Genomic DNA, 24,161 nt, shown 5'->3' on the forward strand with positions numbered 1-24,161 from the left:
AGTGAGCCCAGATTTCGTCATTGCGCTCCAGCCTGGGCAAGAGAGTGAGACTCCATCTCAAACAAAACAAAACAAAAACAAGAACAAAAAAACGCACAGTGTACTCTCTTGACCCTCATCATCTTCCAACAAGCACCCTGGTCCTCCGTCCCACCTAAGGCTGAACTTCTGGTGGAAGCTGTGCATACTCCCCCACCCACTTTCACACCCCGCCACCCTCCTCACCCTGCACCCTCCTCACCTCACCCCCTCTCCTCACCCCACCCTCTCCACACCCCACCCTCTCCACACCATCACCCTCTCCACACCATCACCCTCTCCACACCCCACCCTCTCCACACCATCACCCTCTCCACACCATCACCCTCTCCACACCCCGCCCTCTCCACACCATCACCCTCTCCACACCCCACCCTCTCCACACCATCACCCTCTCCACACCCCACCCTCTCCACACCATCACCCTCTCCACACCCCACCCTCTCCACACCCCACCCTCTCCACACCATCACCCTCTCCACACCCCACCCTCTCCACACCATCACCCTCTCCACACCCCACCCTCTCCACACCACCACCCTCTCTACACGGCCACCCTCTCCTCACCGCCACCCTCTCCTCGGTGCCCTTGAGCAGGCCTTCATCCCCTGTGTCACCAAATGGCTCTTGGTGTTGTGATCCTTGCTGCCAAGTCCCAGTGTGGGATCCCGTGCTCAGAGCCACTTCTCAGCAACGTTTGACACTATTGACCTCCCTCTCCTTCTCGAAACATCCTTCTTGAAACAGCCTCTATTCCTGACACTAGATGCTCCATGGGCCCTGCCTCTCCTCCTCCTCCCTGGCAGCTCCAACTCAGTGGCTTTAAACAAACATGTGTTCTGATACATCTCAGACTCCCAACAGCATCCTTGATCTCTCTCCAGGGCTCTGGACTTGAATGTCGAGTTACCTACTTGAAATATCCTAAAAACACAGCCTGGTTCCCCACAAAGACTTATTTCATTCCTCCTTCCTTATCTCCGCACTCTCCAGTCTTTGTTCCTCAGTGACACCACCCTGTAGCTCAAGCATCAAAGTGACGTATCATTCTCAAGTCCTCTGTTTCCCTCCCACCACCTCCAAAATTTGTCCTGAGTTTTCCATTTCTCTGTAACCCCATGGCCACCACCCTGGTCCAGGCTGCTACCGTCCTCACCCTTGACCTCCTTGCTGTTTCTTTTTGGGGTTTTTTTTTTTTTTTTTTTTTTTTTGCTGCTACATTTGCTTCCCATGCTGCCGGGGGAACTTTCAGAAACATAAATCAAAACATGTCACTTGCCTGCTGGAAACCTTCCAGTGGCCTCTGGCTGCCTTTCCAAAGACTCCCAAGTCCTCACATTGGCCTACAAGGCCCCATCTTCTTCTCCAGCCTTCCCTCCTCCCTTCCTATTCAGCCACATTGGCTTCCTTTCATGTTCTCCAGCAAGCCAAGTTCTTTCCTGCCTAGGGGCCTTTGCACTTGCTGTTTCTTCTGTCTGTAACTCTCTTCCTTCTGCTCTTCCTATAACTGCCTCTTTCTCTTCTTTTAAAGCCCAGCTCAACCATCACCTTTCCAGAGATCACTTCCCTGATCATCTAATTGAAGGACCTCACCCTTCACCCTGGTCACTCTCAACCCTATCATCCTGTTTATTCCCTTCATAACTCAGCAATGTCGGGAGCTCACTTACTTGTTGACTTGTTTATTGTCTATCCACCTCTCTTCCCCAGAATGTTGGTCCCATGAAGGCAGGGATTTAATATCTTTCTTATTCAGTGCATTAGATGGAAACCAGGTACACACAGCACAGTGCCTGGCACATAGAAAATGCTCAATAAATATTGGATGGATGGATGGATGGATGAGATGGATGAATGAATGGATGGGATGGATGGGATGGATGGATGATAGATGGATGGGATGAATGGATGGATGTGATAAATGGATGGTTGAGATGAACCGATGGATGAATGGATGGGTGGATGGGTAATGAATAGCTGGAATGGGTAGTTGGATAGATGGATGATGGATGGGTGGATGAGATGGATGGATAGATGGATGATGAGGGATGGATGGATGAGATGGATGGATAGATGGGATGGATGGATGGGATGAATGGATGGATGAAATGGAGGGATGAATGAATGAGATGGATAGGAGGGATGAATGAATGGGATGGATAGGATGGATGAATAGATGGATGAATAGGTGGATGGATGAATGGGTGGGTGGGGGATGGATGGATAGGGTGAATGGATGGATGGATGAATGGATAGTTGGATCGATGGATGGATGGATGGATGAATGAGATGGATGGGATGGATGGATGAATGAGTGGGATGGATGAGATGGATGGATGGATGAATGGATGTGTGGGTGGGGGATGGATGGTTGGGATGGATGAATGGATGAGATGAATGGATGGATGAGTGGATGACATGGATGGATGGATAGATGGATGGGATGGATGGATGGATGGATGAGTGGATGGGATGGATGGGTGGATGAATGGATGGATGGATGGATGGATGGGATGGATGGATGGAAGGACGGATGGGTGGGTAATGGATAGATGGGATGGGTGGATGGATAAATGGATGGATGGAATGGATGGATGGATGGATGGATGAGTGGATAGGATAGATGGCTGGATGGATGGATGGATGAGTGGATAGGATAGATGGCTGGATGGATGGATGGATGGGATGGATGGATGGATGGATGGACGGATGAGTGGGTAATGGATAGATAGGATGGATGGATGGATGAGAGGATGGGATGGATGGGATAGATGGATGGATGGGGGATGGATGGATGGATATGCAACCAGATAAACAAACCTAAAGTACACCTTTAATCATGCCACTCTCCTTCTCCAGAACCTAACTTGGCTGCCCACTGCCTATGGAATAGACAGCAAACTCTCCTCTGGGACATTCAAAGCGTTCTGAACTGATTCCAAAGTGGGGGTGCAGTGAGTGATAAGTGAGAAGATAAGTCATTCATACTGAAGCATTAGGAAGTGGATCAGTTAACCATCTCTCTCCTTGATCTGGGCATGAGCCATTTGAGGGCAGGGTCATCTTCATCTCTCTGTCTAGACATTGAGCCCTTGGTCAGCAACATCAGAGATGTCTGATGAATAAATACATGACTGAGTGAGCGAGTGAGCAAGTGAAAGCAGCCCCACTCTGCCCCAAAAAGCCAGCAAGCGAAAAGCAGGAAGCTTCAGACCCAGAGGGCTGAACAGTTCAAATTTAGAATAGGAGAGCAGTTTCACTGTTTCAGGTCACTGCTCCTGGCCAAGGTTTCAAAAGTATGTAAAGCTGGGGCTCTGCAGCAACAGGAAAATTGAAACTTACCAGAAACTAGACTGGCAGTGTCTCTCGGGAGGGACTGATTTGAATGCCAATGACCTGATCCTCCAATTATAAGAGCAGCACAGTGTCAGACTAAAAAGCACACTCCCACGTAATTGCAACCAAAGCCACAAAGACTCCCACAACTAAGAGTGGCACTTCTTCAGTGTCCCGTCCTGCTGACACACTTTTGGTTTTTGCAGACCTTGGGCCCTTCCATTGTGACTCTTGGTTTGCAGGTGGAAGAGGAGCAGAGCTGTGAAGAGGAGAGCTTGGGGTCACCTCAGCTCTGCCAGAGGTTCTGTGACCTGCCAGAGGCTCTGGGACCTTCCCTGAGTCATCATCTGTGGAGAAAGGACTTGCCACTGAGTGGTGTGTTCTACTTGTACCGCTCTTCTGATCGATCAGCGTCTTTGATTGGGTTCCCTGGGAAACAGACTCAGAGAGCTGGGCACGCAGGTGGTTTACTGGGGAGTGCTCTCACGCACAGCACCTGTGAAGGGGGTAGAGTGGTGTGGGGGGCAGTGATGTGGGGCTGGAATGCAGGCACACCAGAGGCCTCACCAGAGCTCAGAGGCTGGAACAGCCCTTCTGAGTTGCCTACATCAGGACCATGAAATGGGGTCCTTAGACCCCCATGTCAACCCGACGTTGGAGGTGGCCTGCCCCTATGGAGGAGGCAGTCTTAGGCAAGGCGATTCTCCTTGGCTGAAGGCGAATCCTGGAGCCTCTGTCCTGAAGGAGAATCCAGGTGGCAGACTACAATCTCCACTGAAGTCCACTCCTCTTCACTTCCACCGCCTGGAGCCAACCCATCACCTCTCATCTGGATGCAGCCTTAAGATCCTCCCCAGAGCTCAGCATTCATGCTTGGCCCTTCACCAACAGAGTCCAATCTGCACCAGGAACCCAAAGCCACAGGAGGTCTCCCAGCACAGAAATCAGATCACTTCACTTCACTGCTTGAAACCCTCAAATGGCCTCCCAGAACAAAACACACTCAGAATAAAATCCTGAGTGATCCCTGCCTCTGCCTATGACCTCTCCCTTCACTGTGCTTCAGCCCTTTCTCTCTCTCTCTCTTTTATAACAATCCATCATGACGTTCAATGTTCTCTTTTTCTTGAGACAGCAGCTGTGTTCCACCGCAGGGCCTTTGCTCTTGTTGTTCCCGCTGCCTGACGTTCTCTTCCCTCAGATCTTCCCATGGCTGACTCTACGTCCTTCAAGTTTCATCTGACACGTCACCTCCTCAGAGGGATATTCCCTGGTTATCCGATCTAAAGTGGTTCCACATTCCTCGCACGTTACCTTCCTTTTAAACCACTTCTCACTGTCTGAAACTATCTTATGACTTTACTAGTTGACTTCCTGTCTCCTTCCATCAGAATAAACTCCGTGGGGGTAGGAATCACATCTGCCTTGTTCAACTCTGTTACCTGCAGCCTCTAAACCAGAAACCAATGCGTTGTAGGTGTTATCTATTTGTTGAATGGCTTAATAATGATTTCATGATTCTGTCTCCTTACTTATTGCTAATCTTGCTCTTTTTACTGTTTGCCTTAATCAATCAGATTTGTCAGGATTTATCTGTCTTCAGGTGCTTTCTTTTTAAAGAACACCTTTTTCACTTTATTTATCACTTCTACTTTGTTTTTTCTATTTCATTAATTGCATAGTTTACCTTTAATTTCTTATTCCTATCCTTTTGGCTTCTTATATTTTCTATTTTCTTAAGTTAAATACTTAATCCACTTTGTTTTCAATTTTTAAAAATAATAGACGTCTTTAAGGCTATACATTTTCCTCTGTAGGCAGCATTAGCTATGTCTCACACACTTTGGTATGAACAGTGTCTGCTTTTTAAGACTCTAGATAAGTTTCCATGTTGGTTCTGATTTTCCTCTGATTCAGGGGCCATTTAGAAATAATAGCTATTTTTCAAGAAGTTAAAATTTTGAGGTTGCTTTTGATAATTTATTCTGAATTTTATTGGATTATGAAATGAGAATGTGGCTTGGAAACATCTCTACTTTGCAACTTCACTTTGCCATTTACAAACTCTCACTAGACCAGAGTTTCCTTGCTGAGCATGTTTCCTCATCTGTAAAGCGAGCACAATAAACAGTGGCTACAGATTTATGCCAGGTGTGGTGGCTCATGCCTGTAATCCCAGCACTTTGGGAGGCCAAGGCAGGTGGATCACTTGAGATCAGGATTTCGAGACCAGCTTGGCCAACGTGGTGAAACCTCATCTCTAGTAAAAATGCAAAAATTAGCCAGGCATGGTGGTGCACACCTGTAATCCCAGCTACTCAGGAGGCTGAAGCAGGAGACTCACTTGAACCTGGGAGGCAGAGGTTGCAGTGAGGTGAGATAGCACCATTGTACTCCAGCCTGGGCAACAGAGCGAGACTCCGTCTCAAAAAGGAAAAAAAAAAAAGAGTTTCTATGGCCACCTGGGATAGGAGGCTTTTCTTGAAGCCACTTTACCCTAATAAACCCATTGTCTTTACTTATGTTGTATTTATATCTGCAGCGGCCTTGATGCTGTCACTGACCACTGGGACACCCCAGGCCTGACAGGCAGCTCCTGACACCAACTCAAATGCTAGTTCCGCCGGGTGCAGTGGCTCACGCCTGTAATCCCAGCACTTTGGGAGGCCAAGGCAGGCAGATCACCTGCGGTCAGGAGTTCAAAACCCCATCTCTACTAAAAGTACAAAAATCAGCCAGGTGTGGTGGTGTGCACCTTTAATCCCAGCTATTCGGAAGGCTGAGGCAGGAGAATCACTTGAATCTGGGAGGCAGAGGTGGCAGTGAGCCAAGATTGCACCACTGCACTCCAGCCTGGATGACAGAGCAAGACTTCATCTCAAAAAAAAAAAAAATTATTTTGCTGAGAGAAATCTGGACTATACATTCCAGCTGTGACCAACTTATGACACTGCAGCTATATTTTTATTAGTCAGTGGATCTAAAACCAAAAAGTGTGAAAAAAGAAAAATTTCTCAATGATAGGCAAACAAATCTTAATATGTGGTTTATTACTTTGTATTTGGTTCCACTGATTATTCTGTCAACAGGAATGTTAGTGGCCTTGCCACCAGCAAGGTTGGCAATCTTGGCTCCCAGTTACTTCTCTTGTAGGTCGGTCTTAAGAACAAGGCTTTGGCCAGGCGCAGTGGCTCACGCCTGTAATCCCAGCACTTCGAGAGGTCGAGGTGGGTGAATCATGTGGTCAGAAGTTCGAGACCAGCCTAGCCAACATGGTGAAACCCTGTCTCTACTAAAAAAAAAATACAAAAATTAGCCAGGCATGGTGGTGCGCGCTTGTAATCCCAGCTACTCAGGAGGCTGAGGCAGGAGAATCGCTTGAACCTGGAAGGTGGAGGTTGCAGTGAGCCGAGATCGCGCCATTGCACTCCAGTCCGGGTGACAGAGCGAGACTCTGTCTCAAAAAAAAAAAAAAAAAAAAAAAAAGAAAAAGAAAAGAAAGAAAGAAAAAGGCGTTAAGGCTTTAGGATTGGATGTGGTGGCTCATGCCTGTAATCTCAGCACTTTGGGAGACTGAGGCAAGGGGCTCACTTGAGGTCAGGAGTTCAAGACCAGCCTGGGCAACATAGGGAGACCTCGTCTCTACAAATAACTTAAAAATTAGCCAGGTGTGATGGCGCATGCCTGTAGTCCCAGCTACTCGGGAGGCTGAAGTAGGAGGATCACTTGAGACCAGGAAATTGAGCCTGCAGTGAGCCGAGATCGCGACACTGTACTCCAGCCTGGGCAACAGAGCAAGAGTTTGTCTCATTAAAAACAAAACAAAACAAACAAACAAAAAAAAACAGACAACAAAAATAGCAAGAGTACTTTAGATTTATAGACGGTGCTTTGCAGTGAAGCTGCCATGATGAAAGCTTCCATTGACCGACCACCTGTCGTGTGTGAAGCATTGTTCTTGGTAACTCACATATGTTGCTGCATTTCCTCTTCACAATAACTTCATGTGGAAAGTTTTACCACCTCCCTTCTCCAAATGAGAAAACAGTATAAGAGAAATGTGACTTTACCAAGAGCACCCAGCTTCTGAGTGGGTTCAGCCTGGGGGTGTCTGGCTCTTCCTACATCTGGAATCTTCAGATTGAGAAGGTTCATTGTCATTTACTCAGCAAATATTTGAGCATCTGCCCCTTGCCTTCTGTCCTGCAGTATGCCGAATTCTGGACTAGGTGCTGGAGATGGAACAGGGAGCAAAACAGCGTCCTTTGTCCCCTGTCCCAGTTGGGAAGAAAGACAAAGAAAAGACAAACAAAACAAAACAAGACGAAAACAGCACTTCACAGTATATATGATGTTAGAGAGGGACGGGGCAGCTAAGATTCTCAACAGTTCATTTCAGTACTAAACTGTTTTACTTCTATTCTGTTTCTTTTCTTTTTTCTTTTTTTCTTTTTTTGAGATGGAGTCTCACTCTGTTGCTCAGGATGGAGTGCAGTGTCGCGATCTCAGCTCACTGCAACCTCCACCTCTCGGGTTCAAGCGATTCTCCTGCCTCAGCCTCCTGAGTAGCTGGGGTTAGAGGTGCCCGCCACCACACCTAGCTAATTTTTGTGTTTTTAGTAAAGACGGGATTTCACCATGTTGGCCAGGCTGGTCTCGACCTCCCAACCTCAGGTGATCCTCTGCCTCAGTCTCCCAAAGTGCTGGGATTACGTGCATGACCCTCTGCACCCAGACTCTATTCTATTTCTGTCATCAGGCGGATTGACAGACACAAAAATGTAGTGTCTCTATTGCCCTAGATCTCTTTAGCCATGTCCGAGGACCAAGGAATGTAAAATTTATTTGTTTTTGAGACAGGGTGTCACTCTGTTGCCTAGGCTAGAGTGCAGTGGTGGATCCTCCCACCTCAGCCTCCCGAATAGTTGGAAGTACAAACGTAACACCATCATGCCCAGCTAATTTTATATATATATATTTGTAGAGACAGGGCCTTGCCATGTTGCCCAAGTTGGTCTTGAACTCCTGGCTTCAAGCGATCCTCCCACCTCGGAATCTCAAAGTGCTGGGATTACAGGCGTGAGCCACCGTGCCGCCCAGCCCAGGGTTCTGTTGTAATGAGCGCGTCCTTCTTGTGGTGTGTCCTTTCTTCACTTGCAGTCTTCACTCACAGCCCTGCCATTTCTTGTTCCTGTGTAATCTGTCACTTTGTGGCACTTCCTTTTCCTCTGTGTTGACAGAGCCTGGCTTGTTTAGCCACTCTTGTGTCCTCAGGGGGTTTGATTTCCTTCCATGTTATTGCTATTATGTGTTACATAGCGATGAACTAGCCAGGACACATTGTTATTTTTCCCCTGGTTTGCCTCCCTGTTCGTAATCCTCCGTCACCGTTCACATTTCTATTGATTTTCAGCCAAACTCGGGGGTTGGCAAATTACGGCCACCCACCTGTTTTTGTAAATAAAGTTTTATTGGAATGCAGCCAAGCCTGTTTGTTTACATATTGTCTGGGGCTGCTTGAGCTATGAGGGCAGAATTGAGAAGTTGAATAGCTGAGTGACAGAGACTGCATACAGCCCCTGTGACGGTGGAAAAAACAACTGTTTTTCCTCTGCTCTCACACTACAGCAATCAACACTAAAGACTTTTTTTTTGAGACATAGTCTCACTCTATCACCCAGGCTGGAGTGCAGTGGCACAATCTCAGCTCACTGCAACCTCCGCCTCCGGGTTCAAGTGATTCTCCCACCTCAGCCGCCAGAGTAGCTGGGATTACAGGCACCCACCACCACGCCTGGCTAATTTTTGTATTTTCAGTCAATATGGGTTTTCACCATGTTGGCCAGGCTGGTCTCGAACTCCTGATCTCAGGTGATCTGCCCACCTCAGCCTCCCAAAGTGCTGGGATTATAGGTGTGAGCCAGTGCACCTGGCCACAGAACATCTCCATGACCAAATGTGTGTCTGTTTTTCCCCAAGCACCAAGCAGTGGACACCAGCGGGGCATCCCCCAATTCCACTCCGATGCTGTCTACCTGAAGATAGCCTCGGGTCACACAGGTTGAGGGCTCAGTCCCCAAGACTGTCCCCTCCTTCCCACCAGTCACAAGTCCAGGCTTCCAGAACTTCTGACCGATCAGCTCCAAACCCGCTCTTTGGGTTTAATTTATTTGCTAAAGCAGCTCACAGAACTCAGGCAAACTTACTTTTACGTCTACTGGTTTATGACAAAGGTTCTTTTAAAGGACGCAGTTAAACAGCCAGATGAGACACACACAGTGAGGTCTGGAAGGGTCCTGAGCCTGTCCCCATGCCACCCTCCCAGCACGTGGATGAGTTCTTGTTCACCTTCTTACAAACCTCCGTGTGTTCAGCTATCTGGAAGCTCTCTGAGCCCTGTCCTCTTGGCTTTTTTTTTTTTTTTTTTTTTTGAGACAGGGTCTTGCTCTGTCACCCAGGCTGGAGTGCAGTGGTGCGATCTCGGCTCACTGCAACCTCTGCCTCAAGGGTTCAAGCGATTCTCCTGCCTCAGCCTCCTGAGTGAGCTGAGATTACAGGCATGTGCCACCACGTACAGCTAATGTTTGTATTTTTAGTAGAGAAGGGGTTTCCCCATGTTGGTCAGGCTGGTCTCGAACTCCTGACCTCAAATGATCCACCTGCTTCAGCCTCCCAAAGTGCTGTCTCTCCATCTGACTGCAAGGAAATGAAGTTGCAGGGAAGTGAAGTGACTTCCCCAGGCCATGGAGTTGTTGGCTGTAGAAGTGCAACCAGCAGATCATCTCTCCTGGGCCCTGCTCTTCCTAGAATTCACAGTGGAAGATGTATACCCTACTCCCACCTATTCCTTACCTCCGAGCCTCCCTACACAGCAGAGACCTCTCTCCTACATGACTGCCACCCACCATTGTCCTAGAAATAAGTCAAACAGTGGCATTTGTCAGTCCCACATCTAGTCGTAGCAGGGTGCTGTGTGGGGCGGGCGTGGTGGCAGAGAAAAGGTGTGTCTTGGAGCAGTGAGAAAAGTACTCAGGGCTGTGCTTCCTCAAGGAGTCTCATGGCATGTAGCCTGCCTGGAAAGTTTTCTGCCAGCATCTAGCAGGTTGCATTTCACAAGCGGCATAAATCCTCCTTAACCGTTTGCCCTTACAGCTAGTTTGCATGTGATGGTAAATCTGAATTGTTACTCAGTGACTGTATTTATTAAGAACAGCCCACCTGCAAGGTACTGTGGCATCGAGGGTACCAGGTTAGGAGGAAACTAGCATTTTTTTTTTTTTAGACAGAGTCTCGCTCTCGTTGCCCAGGCTGGAGTGCAATGGCACTATCTCAGCTCACTGCAACCTCCACCTCCCGGGTTCAAGTGATTCTCCTGCCTCAGCCTCCCAAGTAGCTGGGATTGCAGGCGCCTGCCGCCATGCCTGGCTATTTTTTTGTGTATTTTTAGTAGAGACGGGGTTTCTCCATGTTGGCCAGGCTGGTCTCAAACTCCTGACCTCAGGTGATCCGCCCAAAGTGCTGGGATTACAGGCGTGAGCCACAGCGCCTGACCTCAGCAAAAGAATTTGGTAAGTCTAGAGGTAAAGCTTAATACTGTAAAGATGCTAAAGATGCTGTCTTCCCAGATCATTAATTTAGTGCAATGTCAGTCATGATCCTAGATTTTAAAAAGCAATTTTTTAAAATATAGAGACAGGGTCTCTTTGTTGCCCAGGCTGGTCTCAAACTCCTGGCTTCAAGTGATCCTCCTGCCTTGGCCTCCAAAGTACTGGGATTACAGGCATGAGCCACCATGCCTGGCCCTTAAATAGATTTTTAAATATAACTTGACAAAATAAATCTCACCGGATTGAGAAAATACATAAACATAGCCAAGAAAAACAATTTTTTTGAGTCAGAGTCTCATTCTGTGTCACCCAGGCTGGAGTGCAATGGTGCAATCATGGCTCACTGTAGCCTCACTCTCCTGGGCTCAAGTGATCCTCCAGCCTCAGCCTCGTCGGTAGCTGGGACTACAGGCACACACCACTGCACCTGGCTAATTTTTTCTTAAATTTTTGTAGAGACAGGGTTTCACTATGTTGCCCAGGCTGGTCTTGAACTCCTGGCCTCAAGTGACCCTCCTGCCTATGCCTGGCTGAAAATTTTGATGAGAATGGGGTTGTGTAAGTATGTTCACCCTGACAAAAGAGCTGTTTGCTTTGGATTTATGGACTTTTCTGTATGTATATTACACTTCTATAAATGTTTACAAAATTTGGGGTAGGATATAGAAAGTAGAGATAAACTTGTCTTATAAAAACATACTACAGGGCTATCATAATTAAAACTGTAAGGCATAATAAGACAAATAGCTCAATGAAATGGAAGAATCTTGCTACAGAATTTAATGTGTAAGACATGGGGAAATTATTGATTGTTCAATAAATACTGTTGAGACAATTAGCAATCCATTTGGAAAAAATAAATTATAGACCGCCCCTCCTGACCATATCATACACAAAATCCCCTTTAATTCCAGGGGTTAAAGATATAAATAGCATGATCATTCACTGATGGTAGAAGGATTAATTCATACTGCCTTTTTGTAGGACAACTTGGTAGGCTCCTTCAACATTTAAAATGTGCAGGTGGGGCGTGATGGCTGACGCCTGTAATCCCAACACTTTGGGAGGACAAGGCGGGTGGATCACTTGATCCCAGGAATTTGAGACCAGTGTGGGTAACATAGTAAGACCCTGTCTCTACAAAAAATACACTAATTAGCCAGGTGTGGTGTGTGTGCCTGTGGTCTCAGCTACTCAGGAAGCTGAGTTGGGAAGATAGCTTGAGCCCGGGAGGTTGAGGCTGCAGTGACCCATGATCGCACCACTGCACTCCAGCCTGGGGTGACGGAGTGAGACCTTATATCATAAACAAATAAATATATGTATGTATTTGTGTGTGCATGTGTGCATATATATGTGTGTGTGTGTGTGTGTGGGTGTGGGTGTGTATCCCTTGCTCCAACAATTTCATTTCTTGACTCTCTCAAGTTGGCCTACACATATATGTGCACATGGATTGATGTGCATCTGTGTTCACTGTGGTGCATATAATGTGATAGTGGAAAACTGGAAACTACCTCCATGTCCATTAGGAGGGGAATGGCTAAATTACATACATCCACACAAGAGATTACCATGTGTCACAATTCAAATAATAAGATAGGTTCAGTCATTCATGCAACAAATATTTATTGAGCAACTACTATGTGCTAAGACCAGTTCTTAGCTCTGGGGATAGAGCAGAAAACAAAACAGTCTCTGCCTTCATGGGGATTATATTTTAGTGGGGTTGACAGCCAATGAACAAAGAACAATAAAAATATAGTACGATTCAGAGTGAGAATATTGTGAATCAATAAAACAGGGTAAGGGGGGACAGGGACAGGGAGGTGGCATTTCAGACTGGGTGCTCATCAAATCTTCTCCAAGGAGGTAACATCTGGGCTTTATTTGAGGGAGCTCTTCATTCACGGAAAAGAGGTCTCCAGAAACATTAAGAAAAAACAAAACAAAACAAAAGTAATTACAGGACAACTTATGGTTTTTAAACTATGCCTTTGTTTTCCTAAGCATGCATATAGGTATACAGGTATAGATCTGGACATCAGCCAATGGCTGGACATGGTGGCTCACACCTGGAATCCCAGCACTTTGGGAGGCCAAGGCAAAAGGACGGCTGGAGCCCAGGAGTTCGAGACCAATCTGGACAACATGGTGAAACCCCATCTCTACAAGAAATACAAAAATTATAAAAATTAGCTGAGCGTGGTGGTGTGGGCTTGTAGTCCCAGCTACTTAGGAGGCTGAGGCGGGAGGATCACTTGAGCCCAGGAGGTTGAGGCTGTGGTGAGCTACAATCGTGCCACTGTACTCCAGCCTGGGTGACAGAGACTCCGTCTCAAAAAAACTAAAAAATGTAGACATCAGTCAAACTGCTAATATTAAAGGAGTGGTTTAACACTTATTTTCCAGCAAGCACATATTCACGTTACTTTTAGAATAGACTTTTCAACTCTGTGAACAAAAGCTATTTAGAGCACATATGCAAAAGAGTTGGGTCAGCAGAAGCAGCCTAGGGGTTAAGAGCGTCTTCCCTGGGGCAAAAATGTCCCCAGCCGGCTCAGCTGCTAGCTTTGTGACCTCAGGCAAGCTGTGGCTTCAGTTTGTCTAGAGTAGCTGTTCCATTTGGGTTTGTACCTAGAGGGAGGAGGCCAGGGGTGCTGCTGAACACCCGACAATGAGCAGGACAGCTCCCCCATTTGTCAAGAGCAATGTGGAGAAGCCGTGCTCCAGAACAAGGGGCAGTGCCCGCCTCTCAAGGGTTGAGGACTCACGGTGTGCAATGCACTTAGCATAGGCCCTGGCACATAGCAAGTACTCAATAAATAGGAACTATTTTTATTACTGGACTTCCCTGAAAACTAAAAAAAAAAAATGTTGAGAGTATGGAGGACGTGGTAGTGCCAGGAATCAGTTCTGCTGAATCCCAATTCCAGCAGCTGGCTGGAAGGGATCTCTGACCTCCACAGCAACAACAGTCTTCACGGGGTGTGTGTCTGCCAATGGGATGGCCTATACAGAGCTCCTCGTTCCTTCTGTTTGGTTTTTCTGGTTTGAATCTCATCTCCTGCCAGTAGTTCAGGGACATTCCCACCAGATCACCTGGTCTCTTGTACGTATTCAGCTGTGCTCTCTCAGACATTCCCTGTGGTTCAGAAGAAACACACTCAAGCTTCTCTTGTGGGAAAACCAAAACCCAACCCCACCTCACCTCCCACCCCCAGCTTCCCGCGCTTCCTGTGGCCCTGACCTCCTCTTTCCACCCCTTCCCAGGAAATCCAAGAGACACCCACTCTGCTGCTATCTCCTCCTTCCACCCCATCAGGTCAGCAAAACGGCTCCTGCCACATTTCCAACACCTGGCCACTGCCAACTCACTGCTTCTCCCTCTTCCTCTTGTATCGCTTCTCTGCTGCCTTCAGCACGGCTGACCACTCTCCCTCTTGGCCTGCTTGTCCTCCCACCCCTCCTCCTGCTCACTCATCCTCCTTTTCTCAACCAGGTTCTCAGAGGCTGGGCCAAGGCTGCTGCCTTCTCTTACTCCATGCTTCCTGTTCTCAATCCCCCAGCAATCTCACCCGCTGCTGGGTCCTTACTAACCTCCTCCACCCAAAGACTCCCCAGTCTGCCTGTAGCCCCCACCCTGCTGTCTCTGCCAGGTTGTCTCAAAACTCCCTGAACTCAGCAGTCACAACTGATCTCGTATCTATCCCGCCAATCTGGTCTGACTCTAGTGCCCCCATCTCAGGGAATGGCCCTGTTACCTGTGCAAGTGGGAAGCCAGCAGCTTAGGTGGAGTCCTCCATCCCCATCACCCCTGGCAGGTCCTGGGAGCACGACCTCAGTATCTCCCAGTCTCCCCTCCTCCGTCGTCCCTGCACCCATCTCACTCGCCCCTGCTTCTCTTCTGCTTCTGTACCATCGCTCGTTCTCCCTGCAACCAGAGCCATCTCTCAAAGTTGCTATGGAATCCGAATCGCATCACGCAGCCCTGCCTGCTGAAAACTCTTGAATCCACTGCTCTAAGGATGAAATGCAAACTCCTCCCCCTGTGCGCCCCCCTGCCCCCTCTACTCCAGCCACGCTGGCTTCCTCCCTGCCCTGCAGCTGTGTGCCACACGCTCCTTGTCTCCCCCTAGCTCACTTGCTTCCACCTTCCCTACATTCCCAACTGGAATGCCCACCCTACCATGCACTCGTCACCTGCAGCTTCCCCTTTTGGACCAGGTATTGAGGATACAATTTTAATCATACCCCCCAGTGGACCGTAAGTTTAATGAGTCCACTGATCCTGTCTTATTTTCTCTATTATTATGTCCCCGGCATCTGACACTATTAATACTGTGAGTGGCAAACATTCAACACATAGAAGCCATGATGACAATCTCTGAGCAGAATCTGGCATATAAACCCTACACTGATCCCAGAGAACCTTCTGGAATCAAACTCCATCAACCCTCACCACCCCCTTCACCCCCAAGTCCCCTCACTCAAGTGTCTTATGCAACTTTCTTGGTACCACCTGGGTGATTCTTGAAAGAAAACCCAAGCGTGGGCATGCCTGGGCAGCACAGTGGAGGACTGCTTCTGTTACACTGCGTAGCTTTTTACTCAGCCCGTTCACCTGCAGCACGGGTCAGGCAGTATTTACCCCAGCAAGACCCAGAGCTCAGCTGAGCTGCCTTAAGTTGAACTCCTGTAGGAAAGGAAAGGAAAAAGGAAAGACCCCCAAGGACCCAAACTGTCCTACACAAAGAGAAATGACCACCAAGGTTTGGTTCTTGAATATGTATTTTTTACTGAAAAAATCATTCATAAATTAACATACAAAAATGTACAAACACATGAGTAAATAATGTAATGACAAAGGACTATTTTTGTGAAAAGTGTTTTTTAAAACATCTTTAGATTTCAGTGCAAAAATGTACCCCTGGCACCTCTTAAAACGTAAGAGCAAGCTCAAAAACACGTAGTGATGGAAATAAGCTAGCTACGCTCAATGCCATCGTCAATGGTGAGTGGATACAATCAATCCATGTGGCTCCTGCTCAGCTATTAATGTCTGTGGTAGAGGATCTCTGACAAGAGGACCTATTATGTCAAAATGAGTATTCTTGCAAATACCCCCCCACCCCCCAAAACAGCATGAACAAACGGGGACACCTTTCCCTGCACACAGCAATCAAAGACAAGATTAAGGGGCCACCCATCAGTAGCCTTGAAGATTTTCAGCTACCAATATATGCACAAGGTCACATTTGGTTCCTGTTTTTTTTTTTAACATGACAATTTCACACTATTAACAGCACACGGGCCTGGCTGTACGTTTTTAACTATGACATTTCCCATATGATATTCGAGGCCTGGTGGACACATGACTGACAGTGCACATCCAGAGATTCTACACTCATCAGACACAGACATGACCGCAAAGGTATCAAAGTGACCCCACTTTAAGCAGTGAAAAAAGACCTTTCCTTTTGTTCTCAAATCAGCATTTTCTAAAGTCAGGTGTTAGCCTTTTGCCAACAGTGTGTACTTGATGGTAATTATGGCAACATAGAGCTTCAAACAAGATCGCCTGACAACACTGCCGCATACACATACGGCACCCAGGACTCAGAATCAGTCTGTCCTGGCAAATCCTTCCAAATGACATCATAGTGTTGTCACATTGAAAGCAACTCACAGCCTTCAGTGAGGAAAGGGGAGAGGAGAATGAGAAGGGGAGAAAAGCCAAGGCAGGGACAAAGGCCCGGTGGGGGATGGGGGTTGCAGGGTGGAGGGGGGTCTTTATTGCTATATGCACCATAAAACAAAGGAAAACCAAATGAACTTCTGTGTGTAATGTTCACTTGTGAAGGTATTTTAAAGCATGAAATGCTTAAGTCTTAAAAAACATATGCTATAGCTTACCGGCATTTTCAAGGGCAGGAACCTGCTCTCTCATATGAGCCGATAAGAGCTTTGCAATGCAATTTATTTTCTAAATACCACTCTATTCTTCAAAAGAACAAAAACACAAACAAACAAACAAACAAAACAAGGCCTGGCCAATCACTCCCACAGTTTGTGGGGATCATATGTCCACAGAACCATCACATGCAACGAAAAAAGCCCTAACCCACACACATACACACACACACCCCTACACACACCCATGTAAACTATGAAAATCAAGGAAGTTGAAGGCAAACAAGGCAATTAAAAAAAAATACGAAGTACTCTTCAGAAAGTACTCCTCATCACAATATATAAATATGTTTTATGGAAAACAAGGGCGGGGGAGGAAAACTGGCATTTTCCAGAATTCTGCAGAAGCCGACAGAGACTACAATTTGAGGGCTTTGGTTTGGGGAAAAACAAAGAGGCACAAATTCAAATACAATTTAGAACATGACTTCAAGGCTGGGCGCAATGGCTCACACCCGCCCATAATCCCAGCACTTTGGGAAGTCAAGGTGGGCGGATTGCTTGAGTCCAGGAGTTCGAGACCAGCCTGGGCAACATGGAAGAAACCCCTGTCTCTACTAAAAATACAAAAAATTAGCCAGGTGTGGTGGTGTGCACCTGTAGTCCCAGCTACTCGGGAGGCTGAGGTGGGAAAATGGCTTGAGCCTAGGAGATGGAGGCTGCAGTGAGCTGTGATCGTGCCACCACACTCCAGCTTAGGCGACAGAGCCAGACCGTCTTAAAAAACAAAACAAAAAATAATATGACTTCAAAATGCAGGTGGGGGTGTGAGCAGTGCACCTGGGCTCTTGCTGTCTGGAGCTTTGTTAGTCTAATTTCAAAGCTTCAATCCGGTCTTACCTGGATCCCAGCTGCCCCACAGCACACAAGTGTCACCAGCTCCCTGGCTCCTGGCTCCCTATTTGAGTGCTCCTTGGTTCTATGTATCAGTTACTAATGTTGACAAAGAATCTTTCCAGAAACCAAAAAGGGACACAGAGGAATCACTGAAGCCAGCTGGTAATGTAGGCACATTGTTCAGAAACTGTGGCCAAGTTCCACAAGAGAAAAAGTAAGAGGGGGAGGGATTCCCATACACACCCCCGCCCCCCGCCCCCCGCCCCGCCATGCTGATGAAAAGACAGAACACGAAGCCTGGAGAGCCAGAGATGTGTGTGCAGCGAGCCCCGAAGGGCCTGCTTTAGGCAGGAAGCAGCCTGCTCTAACAGCAGCCTCCCGCTTAGCGGAGAGTGGGATGAGCACATGCGCGGCCGACAGGGAAGAGTGAATCCAGAGCAGAAGTCAAGGGCAAGACTCGTGGGGGGGGGAAGAAAGGGACAGAAGCCAGCTCCCAGCAATAAAGGTCGGGTTATTTTGTTCTTTTGTGACATGCCCTATATCCACTCCCTCGCCAAAGTGACAGCAATTCGGGAGATGACATTCTTCAACTGCATTTTAACTGAGTTCCTGCACTTGCCAACCAAGTAAGTGGCCTAATACATAAATCCTCAATTTGAATTGGAGCCAGCTAGAAAATTAAATTTTAAAAAGGCATTTTACATGGCTTATTTACAATTATACTTCTTCAAGAAGTGATTGTTATATATTTATGTCTATTTATCTTTCCCAAACACCCTCCCCTCCACCCTCAATCCCCACCCAAAGAAGGTAATTTTTTAAAAAAATGAAACCAAAGAGAACACCAGAGATCTAGAAGAATGGTGTGGAGTTTCATTTGCTCTTCCTAAAACGCAGCTGCCCTGTGGTGGGTTTGCCTCTGCTCTGAAGGCCAAGAGGCTCCAAGGTCATGTGTAGGGACAGGCTCCACGGCAGGACCACGGCAGGACCACGGCAGATCACAGTTCATCATGGGTTCTGGAGACTGCGGCTAAGACAGGATGTGGGGTAGGAGATGGGGAGAGAGCAGCGGGACAGACGTCTGTCTTGTGAAAACAGAAAGCCAGTGCTGACGAAGGAAGTCCCCAAGCTCACTCCCTCAGTTCCAGCGGCTGATCCAGTGAAGGCGTTTGTGCGTGTGCTGTCACATTTTCCCCCTGAACTCTGTGATCCTTCATGAGACACAGTATTTCTGTTCTCTTGCTGTGTAGACCCTCCCCCCTCCAAAAAAAAATCTCATCGGACTGCTTTCTTGGTGGCGGTGGGTAAAGCAAACGTACATTCTCTCCTCTCAGTACTCGTTCACCTGAGCCAGCTCGGGTGTCAGGTTGACAGTTATGTTTTTATACAAGGCGTCGTATGTGATGTTTGCAAAGTAGTTCAGGTTGTTGAGGCCATCCAGCCCTTGCCGTTCTTTTGACTTCCTCAGCAGAGCATACCTGTTTAGGGAGGGAACAGAGAAGAGGTGGCTCTGAGTGAGGATCCATGCCTCTGCAGCCAGAGGATGGAGCAGGGCGTCCCACAGCAGAGGACGCAACCCATGGCAGCACTTCTGCAGCACAAGGTGGGCGCACGGCCAATTCTGCTATGCCAGGCTGAGTGCTGTGGTCAGAAACACCTCCTGTGTTTCATGCCAGGTGCTTCACTTAATTATTTCATTTAATGCTCACGCCAGCCCCTGCTAGCAAATGAGGAAGCCAAGGCTTAATAATGTGAGGTAACTTGCCCAAGGTCAGAGAGTGGGGAAGTGGGAGGTAAAGCATTAAAAATACAACAGATGAGAAAGTTCATACTCTGTATTCAGTGCCATTTTACTCCCATGAAAACAGAATTTCAGCAATTAGAATTGGTTGTCTAGAGCACAGTCTTCCCCACAATTTAGAAAAGACACACACACACACACACACACACACACAAAGAAAGAAAAGGTAACACAGCAACTGCAGCCACCCAGACAGAAGCTCAGGACACCATTCGGAACGGGAGCCTGCGGAAAGGGCGCCACTGCTCTGTCACCTCAGGGACCTTCATCCAAGCTGTTTCTTCCCAAATTCCCCAAAGGCTACTGTGGAGACCACAAGGCTGAAGACATAGGACAAGTGATTTCCTTCGAAGAATCTTACTATTGAAAATGTTCACCAACGGTCTGATCCCCACACTGTTCTGCCTCAGAGTTAGAATACATGCAACAGCTGTCAAACAGCTGTCAGAACAGGGCCTCGGGGTGGGGAGTAGGAGAAGGGGCTGTAATATGCTCTAAGATATCCGGACATGAAAGTATAGGGGATACTTCTAAGAGACAGAGATAAATTCCACCAACCTTCCAAGAAACTGGACTTCTCCTCGATGGTGATGAGGAATGGACTTGTACTTTCCTGTGTCACCCTCTGGCCGGCTCACAGAATAGCCTGCATTCTGTACTCTGTCCAAGACCAAGAGAACAGGCTTTTAGATACAACGGTAATAGCCCAGGAGTGACCAAAGCCTACAAGACATGTTACAAGCTTACCCTGGAAATCACACACAGCAAAAGCTCTCACCCGCTTAACTGACTCATTGTGTCATTTCTTAAAAACTGAGTTAAAACTCAATTTTAACTGAATTAAAGTTTTTATGTGAACGGAAAAAATAGGCTGGGCTAGGTGGCTCGTGCCTGTAATCCCAGCACTTTGGGAGGCCGAGGTGGGCAGATCATTTGAGGTCAGGAGTTCGAGACCAGCCTGGCCAAAATGGTGAAACCCCATCTCTACTTAAAAAAAAAAAAAAAAATTAGCCAGGCGTGGTGGTGCAGGTCTGTAATCCCAGCTACTCAGGAGGCTGAGACAGGAGAATCACTTGAACCCGGGAGGCAAAGGTTGCAGTGAGCAAAATTGCACCAGCTTGGGTAACAGAAAGAAAATCTGTCTCAAAAAAGAAAAGAAAAGTACGGAAAGAAATGGTTACTTCCAGGGAATAAAATAGAATCAAAATGGGGATTAATACTTAGACACTTGTATCATCTAATTTTTTTTTTTTAAGAGACAGGGTCCACTGTGTTGCCCAGGCTGGAGTACAGTGAGGTGATCATGGTTCAGTGCAGCCTCAATCTCCCAGGCTCAATTAGTCCTCCCATCTCAGCCTCCTGAGTAGCTGGGACTACAGGCGTGTGCCACCACAACAGGCTAATTTTTTTTATTTTTTGTAGAGACAAGGTCTCACTGTTGCCCAGACTGGTCTTGAACTCCTGGGCTCAAGTGATCCTCAAGCCTAGGCCTTGTGAAGAGGTGGGATTACAGGTGTGAGCCACAGTGCTCAGCCTATCATTTGAATTTTTATTAGCAAAATAGTCCTTGTAATTAACAACAAACACATACTTTTCAAAAGCCAAGCTACAAAGGAAACAGATACCAGGTAGTATTTTGCATTTGTTCCTTATGAGGTTACTGTTTACTTACTCCATAAAAATATTACTTTATTCCACTCACACACAGGATTGTTCACCCAAGCTTGTACAGTACAAGCCTTATGTGATGGCGCAGCTAAATCTATGTAGACATATCACTAATATTCCACCCTTCAGTTTGGAGTGGTTCCAATGAAATGGGCATTTAGTACAGAGAACACTGGTGAAGTGAAAAGTTTTGTTAGAACCTTTAGCAGGAGGGGCACTTAGTTATAATATGCCTTAAAAACCCTATTTGCATCCATTAAAGGACAGAGCTTAAAAAAAAAAAGAGCCTTAAAATGACTACATTCGCTTATAGGAATTTTTCCTAAATAGGAATAACAGGCAAAAGAATTATCTACTATATCACACTCTAAATAGTGGAAAATGGAAAAGATTCTAAATATACACCAGGAAATAGTTACATAAATTACAGTACATCTATATAACCGAATTAAATGGAGCCACTTAAGATCCTGTTTACAGAGTATTTAATGTTGATATAAAAACAGTAACACCTATTGAGAGCTTATCACATATCAGATATGCCAGAGCTCTATACACATTACATCATTTAATCCTCACAATCCTGAGATTTGTGATTTTAAAAACTGACACACAGAGATTTTAAATTACTGTTCACTTGCCACTTTTTAAACACAAAATAAACTCAATGAAATGGTAACATGTTACTTATTGTTGTGGGTAATTTATTTTTATACTCATTTGTATTTTATAATGAACGTATTATTTATTAGAAGAAAAAATTGCTAAATTATAATTTGTTGATTTTCGCATGTCAAAGGAGAAAAATGAAAATAGCTGCTTTGTTGGGATATACAGTTTGTTTTTTAAGATATTAAGATATTTTTAAATTAAGATTAAAGATATTTTCTAAAAACTTGGATGTGTGTGGTGTGTGTGTGTGTGTGTGTGTATTTTTTAAGACAGGTCTCACTCTGTCACCCAAGCTAGAGTGCAGTGGCACAGCTCTCTGTGGCCTCGAACTCCCGGGCTCAAGTGATCCTCCCACCTCGGCCTTCCAAAGTGCTGGGATTACAGGTGTGAGCCATCACAGCTGGTCAATTTCATTTTTTTCCTTAACCTTTTAAACTGTAGCTACTAGAACATGTTAAATTACACACATGGCTTGCATTATATTCCTATCGGATAGTATTGGTCTGCAGTCTAAGGTAGCATTTCTAGAAGACACCGAAAGAACGGCAGAGGTACCTGTTCCAGAGGTCGTCATCTTCTCCACCCCAACCCCAGAAAGCATTAGGAAAGCCATTGATTTTCCGAAATTGTTCCACTGTTAAGCCACTCACTCCGCCAAAGAACTCGGTATAAGGAAGCCTAGGAGGAGATGTGGGACATCAATCATCTGTGTGTTACAGGGTAACTGTTTTCCCTAGAAGGTTCTCATTTGAGGACTAAAAACAGTGCTCTCTGTGCTCCTGACCTGAACCATATGAATGTATCAAATTAGCAAAATTAATTTTTGCAAACTGATTTTTAATAGCTTTAGTGAGATATAATTGACATACCCATACACAATTGGCCCATTTAGAGTATATCATTCAATGGTTTTAGTTTATTCACTGAATTGTGCAACCATGACCACAATCTATATTAACATGTTTCATCACTGTCCCCCGCAAAGCCTTGCACCCATTAGCAATCACCCCCTGCTCCTCCTATCCTCCTTAGCCCCTTATAACCATTTATCTACTTTCTGTCACTATAGATTTGCTTATTCTGGACATTTCAGACACCTGGAATCATATGATACACAACCTTTGTGTCTGGCTTCTTTAACGTAATGTTTTCGAAGTTCATCCGTGTTTTGGCACGTATCAGTATTTCATTGCTTTCTCCTGCCAAACAGTGCTCCAATTGTATGGATACACACATTTTGTTTATCCATCCATCAGTTGATGGGCATCTAGGTTGCAGCTAATTAGATTTCCTTTTCACATCGCTCACCATCCTTTCAGATTTAACCTCTTTAATTAAGAAGAAATGATACTCACAGATACATATACTTATCCAATTTGGTTGCAAAATGCCTCGGCATCTGTCCACATCCATAATAGTTGCGATCACTTTCCGGTATGTGATCTACATCATGAAAAATCAAACAGTCCCAATCCAAGTCTTTCATTGCCTCTTGAAAGCCAACGTTGAAAAGCATGGCTCGATTAAAGGGTTGGGTACCAACCTAAAAGAAACAGAACTTTATCTTTAAAAGAATCTTGAAGGAAAATCTTTGCTGTCTTTCCTGTGCCTAAAGACGAGTTTATTAGAACCAACTGGAAAAGATCACTGGGCTAGTGTAACCAGGTCCAACACCACAAATCAACTCACAGTGTGGCTCAGAAGTCACTGGACCTCTGGCATGGGCACAGTGGCTCACGCCTGTAATCCCAGCACTTTGGAAAACCAAGGTGGGCGGATCAGGAGTTCGAGACCAGCCTGGCCAACATGGTGAAACCCCATCCCTACTGAAAATACAAAAACATTAGCTAGGCGTAGTGGCGCATGCCTGTAATCCCAGCTACTTGGGAGGCTGAGGTAGGAGAATAGCTTGAACCCGGGAGGCGGAGGCTGCAGTGAGCCAAGATCGCACCATTGTACTCCAGTTTGGGCGACAGAGCAAGACTCCATCTCCAAAAAAAAGAAAAAGAAAAAGTCACTGGACCTCTGGCCCCAATTTCTTTAAAAATGTAAGTGATAGCAAACGCAAGCTTCTCTCTCCCAAGGCTACTGAAGGCAGAAATGCAACCGTGTACCAGCATTTAGAAGAGTACCCCGCTCCACAAAGGGAAGAGACAACACTACCATTTCTACTCCTTACCACTTGCTCTTCAGCACATCAACCAATCTCTAACTGTTCATAAACCAAA

At 46.3% G+C, this 24,161-nt stretch overlaps 1 protein-coding gene and 1 long non-coding RNA gene across 4 annotated transcripts in view, besides 7 other annotated features; both read right to left on the reverse strand.

Annotated features, from left to right (window-relative positions):
- Window positions 3,458-3,507: a silencer, noted in NCBI's record as "silent region_13000". NCBI's record gives its function as "represses an Ori minimal core promoter by ATAC-STARR-seq in GM12878 lymphoblastoid cells {active_cell/tissue: GM12878}" and the evidence as "EXISTENCE:reporter gene assay evidence [ECO:0000049][PMID:35858748]".
- Window positions 3,638-3,707: an enhancer, noted in NCBI's record as "active region_18063". NCBI's record gives its function as "activates an Ori minimal core promoter by ATAC-STARR-seq in GM12878 lymphoblastoid cells {active_cell/tissue: GM12878}" and the evidence as "EXISTENCE:reporter gene assay evidence [ECO:0000049][PMID:35858748]".
- Window positions 10,034-10,103: an enhancer, noted in NCBI's record as "active region_18064". NCBI's record gives its function as "activates an Ori minimal core promoter by ATAC-STARR-seq in GM12878 lymphoblastoid cells {active_cell/tissue: GM12878}" and the evidence as "EXISTENCE:reporter gene assay evidence [ECO:0000049][PMID:35858748]".
- LOC124904926 (uncharacterized) lies at window positions 12,595-15,007 on the reverse strand. Its single transcript, XR_007067638.1, has 2 exons — window positions 14,747-15,007; window positions 12,595-14,127 (listed from the first exon to the last, which is right to left on the reverse strand). It is a non-coding gene; the product is annotated as an uncharacterized LOC124904926 (long non-coding RNA).
- Window positions 13,422-13,471: an enhancer, noted in NCBI's record as "active region_18065". NCBI's record gives its function as "activates an Ori minimal core promoter by ATAC-STARR-seq in GM12878 lymphoblastoid cells {active_cell/tissue: GM12878}" and the evidence as "EXISTENCE:reporter gene assay evidence [ECO:0000049][PMID:35858748]".
- Window positions 13,702-14,021: an enhancer, noted in NCBI's record as "active region_18066". NCBI's record gives its function as "activates an Ori minimal core promoter by ATAC-STARR-seq in GM12878 lymphoblastoid cells {active_cell/tissue: GM12878}" and the evidence as "EXISTENCE:reporter gene assay evidence [ECO:0000049][PMID:35858748]".
- Window positions 14,072-14,754: an enhancer, noted in NCBI's record as "H3K27ac-H3K4me1 hESC enhancer chr20:48247798-48248480 (GRCh37/hg19 assembly coordinates)". NCBI's record gives its function as "activates a minimal SCP1, AML or CMV promoter by ChIP-STARR-seq in primed H9 embryonic stem cells {active_cell/tissue: H9 hESC(primed)}" and the evidence as "EXISTENCE:reporter gene assay evidence [ECO:0000049][PMID:30033119]".
- A 748-nt stretch (window positions 15,008-15,755) lies between the features above and the next one.
- B4GALT5 (beta-1,4-galactosyltransferase 5) overlaps window positions 15,756-24,161 on the reverse strand; it is an 80,934-nt gene continuing 72,528 nt past the window's right edge. For all 3 annotated transcript variants that reach the window (NM_004776.4, XM_047440588.1, XM_047440587.1), the window contains exons 6-9: window positions 23,289-23,476; window positions 22,489-22,611; window positions 20,152-20,253; window positions 15,756-19,270 (exon numbers count right to left, since the gene is read on the reverse strand). In NM_004776.4, the coding sequence (NP_004767.1) occupies window positions 19,123-19,270; window positions 20,152-20,253; window positions 22,489-22,611; window positions 23,289-23,476 (561 nt within the window). In that variant the 3' untranslated portion in view covers window positions 15,756-19,122. The remainder of the gene's footprint in view (window positions 19,271-20,151; window positions 20,254-22,488; window positions 22,612-23,288; window positions 23,477-24,161) is intronic.
- Window positions 19,315-19,815: an enhancer, noted in NCBI's record as "H3K27ac hESC enhancer chr20:48253041-48253541 (GRCh37/hg19 assembly coordinates)". NCBI's record gives its function as "activates a minimal SCP1, AML or CMV promoter by ChIP-STARR-seq in naive H9 embryonic stem cells {active_cell/tissue: H9 hESC(naive)}" and the evidence as "EXISTENCE:reporter gene assay evidence [ECO:0000049][PMID:30033119]".

This window comes from Homo sapiens, chromosome 20, assembly GCF_000001405.40.
Source record: "Homo sapiens chromosome 20, GRCh38.p14 Primary Assembly".
NCBI classification, from domain to species: Eukaryota; Metazoa; Chordata; class Mammalia; order Primates; family Hominidae; genus Homo; species Homo sapiens.